The following is a 14398-nucleotide window of genomic DNA, read 5'->3' as shown; positions in this document are numbered from 1 at the left end:
AGCTATATTTACATCAGTTTAAATAGACTTCAAGTCAAACTTTTAAAAAAGACAAAGATGGTAATTATATGATAATAAAGGAGTGAATTCATCAAGAAGACATAACAATTGTGTGTGTGTATGTATGCACCAAACATCAGAGCACCTAAATGCAAAAATTAAGAGATCTGAAGGCAGAGATAAACTGTAATACAATAATAGTAGTGAATGTCAATACCCCACTTTCAACAATAGACAGGTAAGCGAGGCAGAAAATTTTTTAAAAATTAAATTTTGTCTTAGTCTGTTCAGGCTGTTTTAAAAAAATACCTTAGGCTAGGCAATTTGTAAATAACACAAATTTATTTCTTAAACTTCTTGTTTCTTTTCAGATGGAGTCTCACTCTGTCACCCAGGCTGGAGTGTAGTGGTGTGATCTCAGCTCACTGCAACCTCCGCCTCTCAGGTTCAAGCGATTCTCCTGCCTCACCCTCCCAAGTAGCTGGGACTATAGGCATGCACCACCACATCTGGCTAATTTTTGTATTTTTAGTAGAGATGGGGTTTTGCCATGTGGGCCAAGCTGGTCTTGAACTCTTGACCTCAGGTGATCCACCCACCTCGGCCTCCCAAAGTGCTGGGATTACAGATGTGAGCCCCCATGCCTGGCCTATTTCTTAAACTTCTAGAGGCTGGGAAATCCAAGGTCAGGGTGCTAGCAGATACAGTGTCTGATGAGGGCCCATTTCTCATAGATTGCACCTTGTTGCTGTGTCCTGACATGGTGGAAACGGGCAAACATGCCTCCTTCAATCTCTTTTATACGGGTGCTAATACCATTCGTAGAGGCTCTAATCCCATTCATAAGTCTTCATGTCTTACTTTCCAAAAGGCCCTACCTCTTAATACTGACAGATGAGTAATGAGGTTTCAACATATAAATACTGGTGGGACATCAACACTGGGTAGAGGAGACTTGAATTGCTCTTTACACCAAAAGCATCTAATAGACATACAGAGCATTCCATCCAGCAGCAACAAAATATCCATTCTTCTCAAGCACACATGGAATGTCTTCCAGGACAGACCATGTGTTAGGTCACAAAACAAAACTTAATAAATGTAAGAAGACTGAAATTGCATCAAGTATCTTTTCCTACTACCATGGTATGAAACTAGAAATCAATAATAGAAGTATATTAGGCCGCTATCCCATTGCTATAAAGAAATACCTGAGACTGGGTCATTTATAAAGAAAAGAGATTTAATTGGCTCATGGTTCTGCAGGCTGTAAAGGAAGCATGGTGCTAGCATCTGCTGAGCTTCTGGGGAGGCCTCAGGAAACTTACAATCATGGTGGAAGGCAAAGCGGGAGCATGGCCAGAGCAGGAGCAATAGAGAGTGAGGGTGGGAAGGAGGCGCCACACACTTTTAAACAACCACGTCTCATGAAAATTCACTGTTATGAGCACTGCCTCAGGGGGATGGTGCTAAACCACTCGTGAGGAATCCACTCCCGTGATCCAAACACCTCCCACCATGCCCCACCTCCAACAACAGGGAGCAAAATTTGACATGAGATTTTGCTGGGGACACAAATGCAAATCACATCATTTTGCCCCTGGTCCCCCAAATATCTTGTCCTTCTCACATTGCAAAATACAATGATGCTTTCCCAATAGTCCCCCAAAGTCCAAAATCACTCCAGCATTAACTCAAAAGTCCAAAGTCCCAAGTCTCATCTGGGACAAGGCAAATCTCTTCCACCTACAAGCCTGTAAAATCAAAAAGAAGTTATTTACTTCCAAGACACAATGGAGGTACAAGCAGTGGGTAAAATATTTCCACTTTAAAAGGCAAAAAATCAGCCAAAAGAAAGAGGCTACAGGCCCCACACGAGTCCAAAACCCAGCAGGGCAGTTATCAAATCTTAAAAGCTCCAAAACAATCTCCTTTGACTCCATGTCTCACATCCAGCATACACTGGTGTGAGGGGTGGACTCTCAAGGCCTTGGGCAGCTGGTTCCACCCCAGTGGCTTTGCAAGGCTCAGTCCCTGAGGCTGTTCTCACAAACTGGCATTAAGTTTCTGTGGCTTTTCCATGCTGAGGGTGCAAGCTGCCAGGATCTGCCCCTCTGGGGTCTGGAGGATGGTGGCCCTCTTCCCACAGCTCCACTAGGCAGTGCTCCAGTGGGGACTAGTGTGAAGGCTCAAACCCCACATTTCCCCTTTGCACTGTTCTAGTAGAGGTTCTGCCCCAGCAGCAGCTTCTGCTTGAGCACTCAGGATTTCCCATATAGTCTCTGAAATCTAGGTGGAGCCTCCCAAGCATTAACTCTTGCATTCTGTGCACCTGCAGGCTTAATATCATGTGAATACCCCCCAGGCTTATGGCCTGCACCCTCTGAAGCAGCAGCTTGAGCTATACCTGGGCCCCTTTGAGCCATGGCTGAAACTAGAGCTGCTGAGATGCAGGGAACAGTGTCTAGAAGCTGAACAGGTTAGTGGGGCCCTGGGGCTGACCCATGAAACCATTCTGTATTCTTAACCCTCTGGGCCTGTGTGACAAGAGGGGCAGCTGCAAAGGTCTTTGAAATGCCTTTGGAGACTTTTTCCCATTGTCTTGGCTAATAGCACTTGGCTTCTTTTTACTTATGCAAATTTCTGCAGCCTGCTTGAATTCCTCCTGTGAAAACAGGCTTTTCTTTTCTACCACATGGCCAGGCTGCACATTTTCCAAACTTTTATGCTCTGCTTCCCCTTTAAATATAATTTCCAACTTTAGGTCATTTCTTTGCTCACACTTATAAGCGCAGGTTATTAGAAGCAGCCAGGCCATATCTTAAATGCTTTGCTGCTTAGAAATTTATTCCATCAGATACCCTAAATGATCACTGTCAAGGTCAGAGTTCCACAGATCCCTAGGTCAGGGGCACAATGCAGCCAAGCTCTTTGCTAAGGTATAATAAAAGTGACCTTTGCTCCATTTCCCAATAAGTTCCTCATTTCCATCTGAGACTTCATCAACCTGGCCTTCACCATCCATCTCATTATCAGCATTTTGGTCACAAACATTCAACTAGTCTCTAGGAAGTTCCAAACTTTCCCTCATCTTCTTGTCTTCTGAGCCTCCAAACTCTCCAACCTCTGCCTGTTACCCAGTTCCAAAGCTGCTTCCTTATTTTCATATATCTTTATAGCAATGCTCCACTCCTATGTACCAATGTTCTGTATTAGTCCATTCTTGCACTGCCAGAAAGAAATATCTGAGACTGGGTAATTTAGAAAGAAAAGGGTTTTAATTGTCTCACGATTCCACAGGCTGTACAAGAAGTATAATGCTGGCATCTTCTCAGCTTCTGGGGAGGCCCCAGGAAACTTACAATCATGGCAGAAGCCAAAGGGGTAGCAGGCATATCACATGGCCAGAGCAGAAACAAGAGAGAGAAGAGGGAGGTACCACACATTTTTGAACAACAAGATCTCATGAGAACTCACTCATTATCATGAGAAAAGCACCAAGAAGATGGTGCTAAACCATTCATAAGAAATCCACTCCCATGATCCAATCACATTTCACCAGGCCCCATCTCCAGCATTGAGGATTACAATTCAACATGAGATTTGGTGAGGACACAGATTCAAGCCATATCAAAAAGTAATTTCAGAAAATTCAAAAATATGTAGAAATCAAACAACACTGGCTTCTGAACGGCTAATGGATCAAAGAAGAAATTAAAAGGGAGATTAAAAACTATCTTGAGACAAAAAAAAAAAAACCAGAAACACAACATATCAAAACTTACGACATACAGCAAAACAGTTCTAACAGAGGAGTTTATGGTAATAAATGCGTACATTAAAAAAAGGTCTCACATAAACAACCTAAGATTATACATCAAGAAAATAGAAAATGAAGAACAAACTAAGCCCAAAGTTAGCAGAATGAAAAAAATGACAACAATCATAATAGAAGTATATGAAATGGAGACTAGAAAAACAATAGAAAAGGCCAAAAAAACAGACTTGGTTTTTTGAAAAGAGATAAAATTGACAAACTCTTAGCTAGACTGAGAAAAAAAGAAAGAGAAGACTCAAATAAAATCAGTAATGAAAGAGCAGATATCACCGCTGATACCACAGACACACTGAAGTATCGTAAGAGACTATTGTGGACAATTATACACCGAAAAAAGGAACAGACCAATAAATGTGAGGAGACGAAGTCAGTAATAAAAAGTCTCTCATCAAAAAAAATCCCAGGACCAGATGGCTTCATGGCTGAATTTTACCAACCAATTAAAGAACTAATACCAATCAATTTCAAACTCTTCCAAAAAATTGAAGAGGAGGGAATGCTTCCAAACTCACTTTATGAGGCCAGCATTACCCTGATACCAAAGCCAGACAAGGGCACTACAAGAAAATAAAAGTGTAGGTCAATATCCCGGATGAACGTAGATGCCAAATTCCTCAACAAAATATTAATACTAGCAAACTGAATTCAACAAGCTATTAAAAAAATCATTCACCATGTGTATTAGTCCATTCTTGCATTGCTATAAAGAAATATCTAAGATTGAGTAATTTATAAAGAGGTTTAATTGGCTCATGGTCCTGCAGGCTTTAAAGAAAGCTTGGTACTGGCATCTGCTTAACTTCTAGGGAGGCCTCAGGAAGCTTACAATCACAATCATGGTGGAAGGTGAAGGGGAGCAGGCATGTCACATGGTGAAAACAGGAGCAAGTGAGATAGAGCGGCAGGGGGAGATGCCACACACTTTTAAATGACCAGATCTCACAAGAACTCACTATCGTGAAGGCAGCACCAAGCCATGAGGCATGCACCCTCATCATCCAAATACCTCCCTCCAGGCTCCACCTCCAGCACTGGGAATTACAATTCCAAATGAGATTTGGGCAGGGCCAAATATCCAAACGAAATTGCCATGACCAAGTGGGATCTGTCCTTGCAAGGACAGATGCAAGTATGATTCAACATACACAAATCAATAATGTGATTACCACATCAACAGAATGAAGGACAAAAACTGTATGATAATGTCATATGGTTTAGACAGAAAACAGAAGCAAGAAAAGAATTTGACAAAATTGAAATCCTTTCATGATAAAGGAATGTTCCTTAACACAATAAAGACCACATATGAAAAGCTCACAGTTAACTTCATAACATCAACTCAAGTTGATGGAGAAAGGACAGTCTCTTCAATAAATGGTATTGGGAAAACTGGATATCCATATGCAGAAGAATGAAATTAGATCCTCATCTCACACCACATAAAAAGTCAACTCAAAATAAATTAATGACTTAACCATAAAACCTGAAACCATGAAATTACTAGATAAAATATAAGGGAAAAGCTCCATGATGTTGGTTTGGGCAATGATTTGGGGAATATGCCCTAAAAGCACAGGCAACACAAGCAAAAACAGGCAAAGGGAATTACATCAAGCCAAAAAGCTTCTGCACAGCAGAGGAAACAATCAGCGGAGTGAAGAGACAACCTACAAAATGGGAGAAAATATTTGCAAAGTGTAAATCTGATAAGTGATTAATATCCAAAACATACAAGGAACCCAAAGAACCAATAACAAGAAAACAAATAAAAAACATGATTGAAAAATGGATAAAGAACTTGAATAAAGATTTTTCCAAAGAAGACATACAAATAACTAAAACGTATATGAAAACATGTTCAATATTACTAATAATCAGGGCAATGCAAACGCATGAGGAGATATCAGCTCACACCTGTTAGAATGGCTATTACTAATAACAGGAAAGATAATGAGTGTTGGTGAAGATGTGGAGCAAAGAAAACCCTATATGCTATTGGTGGAATGTAGGTTAGTATAACCATTATGGAAAAACAGTATGGAGATTCCTCAAATAATTGAAAGTAGAATATATGATAAAGCAATCTCACATCTGAGCATATATCCAAAGGATATGAAATCAGTATGTCAAAGAGAGATCTGCACTCCCAGGTTCACTGCAGCATTATTCACAATAGCCAAATACAGAATCAATCTATGTGCCCATCGATGAATGAATGAATAAGGAAAATGTGGTATAACAGAGTGCACAATAGAATACTATTCAGCCTAAAAGAGAAGGAAATCTTGTCATTTGTGACAACGTAGATGAACATGGAGGACAGTATGCTAACAGAAATAACGCACCCACAGAAAGACAACTACCACGTGTTCTCACCCACATGTGGAATGTAAACAAGTTGAACTCATAGAAGCAAAGAGCAGGATGGTGAGAGGAGAATGGTACTTACCAGTGGCCAGAGGTTCAGGGGTTTGGGAAGATGTTGGTCAAAATGTACAAAGTTTCAGCTACACAGGAGGAATAAGTTCAAGAGATCCATTGCACATCATGGTGACTACAGTTAATAACAATATACAGTGGTCCTCCTGTTATTCACAAGGGGTACATTCCAAGATGCCGAGTGGATGCATGAAGCCACAAATAGTACAGAACCCTATATATACCAGTTGGGTATACCTTATCCAAAATGCTTGGGACCAGCAGTGTTACAAATTTTTGTTGGATCTTGGAATGTTTGCATTATACTTACCAGTTGAACATCCCCCAACCTGAAAATCCAAAATCCAAAACGCTCTGATGAATATTTCCTTGGAGTGTCATGTCGCTGCTCAAAAAGTTTTGGATTTTGAAGCATTTCAGATTGTGTGTTTTCAGATTTGGGATGCTGTACCTGTATTATGTTTTTTTTTTTTTTTTTCCTATACAGACATAACTATGATAAAGGTTAGTTTACAAATTAGGCAGAGTAAGAGATTAACAACAATTAACAATATAGTTTAATTTATAAATTAGTTGGAGTAAGAAATTAACAACAACTAACTCTAATAAAGTTATGTGAATGTGGTCTCTCTCAAAATATCTTACTGTATTTACTGGAGTTCTTAGCAAATTCAGCAAATGATTTTTTTCTTTCCTTATGAAATCAAGAGCTTTCACCTTTTCACTTAAAGAAAGCACTTTCTAGCTGGGCATGGTGGCTCATGCCTGTAATCCCAGCAGTTTGGGAGGCTGAGGTGGGCGGATCACCTGAGGTCAGGAGTTCGAGACCAGCCTGGCCAACATGGCAAAACACCGTCTCTGCTAAAAATACAAAAATTAGCCAGGTGAGGTGGTGAGCACCTGTAATCCCAGCTACTTGGGAGGCTGAGGCAGGAGAATCGCTTGAACCCAGGAGGCGGAGATTGCAGTGAGCCAAGATGGTGTGACTGCATTCCAGTTTGGATGACAGAGCATGACTTCATCTCAAAAAAAAAAAAAAGGAAAAAGAAAGAAAACACTTTCCGGCTTCTCTTTGGCGTATCCAAGTTGCCAGCACCTCTACTCTTGCTCTGTGGAGCCATTATTCAGTAAAATAAAGGTGACTTGAACACAGATACTGTGACAGTCAATCTGATGACCAGGCTGGCTCCTAAGTGACTAATAGGCAGGGAGTGCGTGCAGCACAGAGATGCTGGACAAAGGGAGGATTCACGTCCCCCGTGGGATGAGGCAGGACAAGGCGAGAAGGTGTGAGATTACATCACACTAATCAAAATGACACACAATTTAAAACATATAAATTGCTTTTTTCTGGAGTTTTCCATTTAGTATATTTGGACTGTGAATGGCCAAGGGTAAGTGAAATCAGAGAAAGCAAAACCACAGATAAGTGGGGGGAACTACTGTATTGTATACACGAAAATCACCATGAGAGTAGATTTTAAGTGTTTTCATCGCATAAAAATGCTAAATATGTGAGGTGATGCATGTTAAGTGGCTTGATTCAGCCATTCCACAACGTATACGTATATCAACACATGCTGTCAACGAATTAATTAAAGATAAAAGCTATCATGACCAGGGTGAACAGCACTGGTGCTGGAAGGGCCTGCTGGAGAAAACTGGGCACACAGAAGTGCTGCGACATCAGAGCAAGCTGCCAGGGCCGAGCTGGACGTGGTCTGGGTTTTTTTGGTGACCACAGTCCTCCGTCCCCAGTAGGTGAAAACACAGAGCTCTCCTGGGAGTGCTCACACCAACCCTGCAGGCTGGCTCCCCTCCTTCAGACCTTCCTCCTTGACTGCCCCGTCTCATCTCAACACTCCAGCTCACCCCAATACCACCTAGCCCCACTCCCTGTTTTAATTTATTCTTCTTAGCAGTTAACACTCAAATAGCCTACAGTTTCTTCTCCCTTTTTAAAAATTCTCAGCCGGGCGCAGTGGCTCATGCCTGTAATTCCAGCACTTTGGAAGGCTAAGGCGGATGGATCTCCTGAGGTCAGGAGTTTGAGACCAGCCTGGCCAAAGTGGTGAAACTTTTCAAATAATTAACTTAATGTTTTTTTTTTTGGTCAGTCTCCAGATACCTAAATTTAAAGCAAACGTCCAATTGCTCATATGAAAACGTGCTATAAATGGACTATTTTTTCCAGTGTTTCTAGATTTTTGGACACTCTGTCTTTAGTACCTTTTTTCAATTTAATAATTATACTCATTACCTAGGTATTCGCCTGAAAACACGTTGAATATAGCATTTGAAAATGTAACTAACAGTTTAAAAGTAGGTGTGTCCTGGTTTCCAACTTTGCAGACACCCTGTGTATGGGTACTCAATTCAGAGAGAATACATGAATGGGAATACTCAGGAATCCTCCCTGGAGCCCGCGCTCCCCTTTAGTGTACGTGACCTGTTCCCTTCACAAGCGCACAGACCTGTCCACTTTCCCGTGGGCAGTGCTGTTCTCAGCAAGACAGCTCCATGGTTCGTTTAACCAGGCCCTGCTGTCAGAAACTTATGAATTGTGTCTCAGAAACACTTCCAGCTCCTCTTGTCATCATCAGGATGCTGCACGGAGTAAACTAGATACAGAATCCTCTCAGCTGGAGGGTGAAGAGGACTCGCGCCTCTATACGGACCCACTGTGCATGCTGACAGGTGTGGTGCACTTACTCACAGAGGTGGATGGCATGCCACATCCACGGCCCTGATGGCTCCTAAAAGATAAAACCACCTCTGCATCCTGGAGGGTGTGGTCATTAGGACAACAGTATGGCAGCAGCTTAGCACAAGAGGTAGCAAGGGAAGATAGAAAAGGTAGTTTTACTTTGTGGTAAAGCCAGCTGAACTATTACAAGTGAGCAAATGGTCTGAAGACTCCACAAACGAGGCAAAGAGAAGATCCCCACCATGAGGGTATGAAACTAGAAATTAATCACAAGAGTAATTTCAGGAAATCTACAAATATGCAGACATTTAACAACATGTTCCCGAACAACCAATGGGTCAGAGAAGAAATCAAAAGGAAATTAAAAAATATCTTAAGACAAATGGAAATGGGAATGCAAGGTGAATAAGGCAGGGTCTCTTTGCAACTAAACTGGTATAAATATCTGGTCCTCATATTTCTCCAACCTCTACTAACCTTTGGGATGATTCTGGCTCCTGTGCAAGTCACACGTTCTGGTCAATAAGCCTCAAAAGCAATACAGGAAGCACAGAGAAGTTAAGCCTAAATTCAAAGTTAAACCTTTAATTAATAAGGGAGGAGAGAATAACAAAGCCAAGGAGTACTTCTTTCCAGAAATGGTGGAAAGATTTATAAAAGAATCCGTGGTTTGTGATTTAGCTAAGGGCTGTGACTGCAAACATATCGAATAACAGTTTTGACCTAAAAATACATTTTTCATTCTAAAACTAGCAGTAAATGTTTTCCAGGTAAAGTTTATTTCAGATGCATTAAATATTTCTTTTAAGAGCACCCTGGGAGGCTGAAGGGCCACAGGGCACCCGGGCCTTCCTCCCACCTGACATCCTCATTCTTTGTTTTCTGGCTTTCCGTGGCTCTGGCACCAACAGGCACTGGGAGCCTTTGCAATGATCAAAGGGCACCAGGCCTGGCCTCAATCCCATGACAGGTTCCCAAGGCAGAGGCAGCAGCTGCTAAACTTAGGTGAAGGGAAACGAGGAGCTTGGGTGAAAAGGGCCCCAGGTGCAGAACAGTGGGCTGGGTTCTAGCCTAACTTGTTCCTGTTCCTCCTCCTGCCTCAGGGGCTGGGGCTCAGGGTACACAGGCCTACTACACAGGCCTGCCCAGCACTCCCACCCTTGGACCCAGGACACTCACCCAAAGGGCTGGTGCTGGCGTCTCCAGCGGGGCCATTGTGGGGGTCCCATAGGGATGCTCTCCCCAGGGACTTCCCCTACGGGATCGGCAGCAGAACGAGCAGGTCCCCACGCCAGGGCCTGGCAGCCCGTCAGCCATGAGCATGGCCTCCTCCCCAGCTTCTAGACTTGCAGCCCCTGGCGCTCTGCAAAGTGAGAGTCCTGTTTCGTGTGGACATGCGCAGGAGGGCTTTCCAGAAGGGAGGTGTTTGATGTGCCTCATATCCTCCAGGGAGTATGTGGCTTTAGTGACTATGGGTGACACACAGATGGGCATTTGTGTTTCCTCACAGGGCCTGGGAGTGGGCAGGGAACCCATGTGTCATTTAAAAAAAGAGTCAGTAGCTTTCTGAGTCCCCCATCCGTTTCCCAGAAGCACAATGTGTCACCACGTGAATGAAGAAAGAAGACCATGTTCCTAACTCAGTGTGGGATTGGAGGGTGGACACAGCTCCTGGGAAAACACAGCTCTTTCCAAACCCTGCCTGGAGAACCACATCTAGGTCTTCAGTGCTTTTCCTGAAATTCCTTCCCCCAAACAATCAAAAGGTAAAGTTCATGTGGCTTACGTAGAAGCCAGTGTCCTAGCCAGGGAGAACGGCGGACCTTCTATTTAGTCTCCTGTTTCTTATGCCTCATGAAAAGCTGGTTTGTTTAAGACTGAAAGCCTCCAGCAGCAACACCATTCCCTAGGATGCAGTCAGCCTTCTGCTATCAGTTTCAGTCTGAGAAATTATTCTCTTGCTGAGGAAAATCCACCTGGTTCCTCATCCTCACGAGCAGCTCCTGGTTTATAATACAATAGCTGCTTCACCCAGCTCTGAAAGTAGCGACAGCAATGAGAACCCAGCTATAGAGCTCGCACAGCCTTGCGTCCGGACTCTCCTGGTGGCTTTCCCCAGATATGCTGTAACCACAGGAATATGTAGACTGGGACTTGGAAGGGTGGAGAGGAGGTTTTATGAAATTTAGATACAAATCACAAAGAACCTTAGATTTAAAAGAAACCATAGTGACCGTTTAGTTCCAGGATGATCAAATTTGGCTCTGTATGAAGCCAAGTTTTAAAACAAATTAAAATAAATACAGGTTCTTGGCTTCCACCCTGGACCTAGGGAGCTTTGAATTTCCCAGAGTGGGGTCCAGGAATCTGTCTTTTAAAAATACTTCCTGATTTGGGAACTATGATCTCATTTTAACTCCTATAAATGAGGAAGATTATTCCAGAGGGTAGGAGATCCATGCAAAGTCACTAGAAATATTGAGTCATGAAATAAGATCCTGACAATATAGACCAGGCAAACAAAGAAGGTGGCTGTTTGCATATGGCATTTTGACCATTTCAACTACCTCATTGTTCTATAGGAGATTAAAAGTCCAGTCCGCAAAAACCAAAGACCAGAAGCCATCAAAGAGTGTTTCTCTGCTAATCAATGCTCATGATTTATTAGGTGCCTCTGAGTACAGTGAAGGTAGTATGGCTGGGTGTGCATTTGGCACCCAAATGCTTCTTTCACCCCTTCCCAATTGGAGTTGTATTCCAAATGCATATATATGTTTTTTGTTTTGTTTTCTTTTTGTTTTTGTTTTTGAGAAGGAGTCTCTGCCACTCAGGCTGGAATGCAGTGGCACAATCTTGGCTGACTGCAACCTCCACCTACTGGGTTCAAGCTATTCTCCTGCCTCAGCCTCCCGAGTAGCTGGGATTACAGGCACCTGCAACCATGTCCAGCTAATTTTTGTATTTTTAGTAGAGACAGGGTTTCACCACGTTGGCCAAGCTGGTCTGGAACTCTTGACCTCAGGTGATGTGCCCGCCTCGGCCTCCCAAAGTGCTGCGATTATAGGTGTGAGCCACTGCGCCAGGCCCCAAATGCATATTTTTGTTCAACATACGCTGCACATTAATTTTCTTTGTTCAGTTTCCTAACATTATGATTTGGCTTTTAAGTTCTTCTCTAGTAGACTCTGAGGTTCTTAGAAGTAAAGGATGAACCTTAAAACACGTGCACTCAGACCACGGCCCAGAGAGGGATGCTGTTACTAAATATACCTGCTGAATTAATAAATAAATGGACTTTCACAGTAGGCATTTCCTTCGGCGATAATTCAGTCTGTCCCAGAATGTGTATTGTAAAATAAGATTGAAACCAGGAAGTAAAGAACATAGTGATCAGTGTGACTTACAGATAATCTATGTATAAAGCACAAGGACCTCGTTTTCCTTGTTTCTTCCCTGTTCCTGTGACTTTACTGGCCACTGGATGAATCCCTTTGGTCCTGGCCATACTCTCGCCCTTGTGTAACCACAGCCTGCCCAGCTGTGGCTGATCATGGCCTTGCAGGAATGAGGGCCTGGGGTATCAGAGCTTCTACTGTTTCAAGAGATGCTCTAACATGGAGTTTTATGGGAGATCTCTTGATTTTGAAATACTTGTCCATATTTTATGTGTTTTGCTTTTAGACAAATCTTGTCTCTGACAGGTCTGTCTCTGGGCCCCCAGTTTGCAACTCATGTGCTGTGGACTGAATGTGTCCCCCTGAAATTCATATGTTGGAACCTAATCCCCAGAGTGCTGGTGTTAGGAGGTGGGGCCTTTGGCAGATGAAGCCTTCAGGAATGGGAGTAGTGCCCTTATAAAAGGAGCTTCAGAGACCTCGTTTGCCAGAAGGAGCCATCCATGAAGCAGAATGCAGGTCTCCACCAGACATGAAATCTGCGGGTACCTTGATCTTGAACTTCCCAGCCTCCAACACTGTCAGAAATAAATGCGTTGTTTATAAGGCCCCCAGTCTATGGTGTTCTCTTACAGTAATCTGGGTAGACTAAGTCATGATGCTCCCAAACTGGCACACAGCCCTCAGAACCCAGCATGGCCCACTCCCTTGCTTCACTGAGATGCTTCTCAATTGTCACCTCCTTCTCAGAGGCTTTCCCCACCCATCCTCTCTCGAATCTCATTTGTTCATGCGTTAAGCTGTCACCTCCCCTCACTAGGGTATCAGTGCCAAAGGGGCAGGGACCTCGTGGGCTTGTCCTCCGTCTCTCCTTAGCTCCTGGACATGCCCAGCACACAGCAGGCTCTCAGAAAACCCACCTTGATTGTGGGGAAGGACAGAAAGCAGCCGCCCTACAGAGAGCTGGGCCTTTCCTAAGCTGATGGTTGAGGCCGTGTGTTCACCGACATACAATGTCTGCCCTTTCTTTCACATCTACTCAATTACTAGCTTTTGCTTCCCAAGACTTTACAGAAGATTTTCCAACAGCTCTTCAGTCCGACAGAAACCTTAAAATGATTCGGGATCTCAGAACCTGGACCCTCCTGTGCTTCCCAGGGGAGGAAGCCAAGATCTGGGCGGAAAGAGCACAGTTCAAGGTCTGGCTGCAGGTTTGTGCTGGTAACCAGAAGCCACACTGTTCTAGTCTCACATGGGGTCAGCAGCGGCACGTGCCTTGGAATGGCGTGGGACCTAAATGAGTAACTGCAAAATGCTTCTCTCCTCCTCCTTCCTGATATAAAGCCGTCAGGGCCCCCCAGCCTCCAGCTGGGACAGAAACCACCACTCCTCCCTCTGCACACAAGCCATGAAGGCAGCCGTCTGCCCCAAGCACGGCACTCACCTTTGAGGACAGGCCTCTCCCCGATGCTGCGGATGCTATAGGCAGCACTGGACAGGGGTGCATCTGGAATGAGCTCTGCGAGCAGGTACCCCGAATACCAGGCACACAAGGAGGCGAAGACCACGAACACCACCTTGAGCAGGCCTGCAGAGAGGACACCAAGCAGCTGCTGTGAACGACTTGGTGGCGGCCCTGGCCCTTGGCCCTCCCCATCCCCCCTGTGGCTTTTCATCCCGGCCCAGTGTCAGGGGACTGCGCTATAGGCACTGTGCTCCTGGGAGGAGGCTCCCAGGGTGGGAGGCGGTGTCAGGACCTTTGAAGTAGACAGTATCAGAGAATACAAACAAGACAGGAATGCTTTCCAGGGCAAGTTGTATTTGCTGTTGGTTTAGGTCTTAACTTAACCAACAAACGTCCTTGAACGTTTATGTCAAAGCAGCTAATCAAGCACCTTGTGAGCCAGCATGCCCAACGTGAACCTGAAAAAACAAAAGCGCCTCATTCCCTTTGTGAGACACAACTGGATTTGAGCACGCTCCTGCAATTACATTGAAACCTTCAGGGGTAAAGCTCTG

At 43.9% G+C, this 14398-nt stretch overlaps 1 protein-coding gene across 5 annotated transcripts in view; it reads right to left on the bottom strand.

The window, feature by feature from the left end:
• Positions 1–14398, bottom strand: part of FAM3B (FAM3 metabolism regulating signaling molecule B) — a 53486-nt gene that overhangs the window by 20838 nt on the left and 18250 nt on the right. For 4 of the 5 annotated variants that reach the window (XR_007067791.1, XM_011529649.3, NM_058186.4 and 1 more), the window contains exon 2: positions 13824–13967. The exons of the other annotated variant lie outside the window; for it this stretch is intronic. Coding sequence is in view for 3 of the 4 variants with exons in the window: in XM_011529649.3 (XP_011527951.1) it covers positions 13824–13967 (144 nt within the window). In the remaining variant the exon portion in view is untranslated. The remainder of the gene's footprint in view (positions 1–13823; positions 13968–14398) is intronic. 5 annotated transcript variants of the gene reach the window in all.

The sequence above is a fragment of the Homo sapiens genome, chromosome 21 (assembly GCF_000001405.40).
Source record: "Homo sapiens chromosome 21, GRCh38.p14 Primary Assembly".
NCBI lineage: Eukaryota > Metazoa > Chordata > Mammalia > Primates > Hominidae > Homo > Homo sapiens.
Note: the sequence above shows the minus strand (reverse complement) of the source record. Positions and strands in the feature narration are given on the sequence as shown.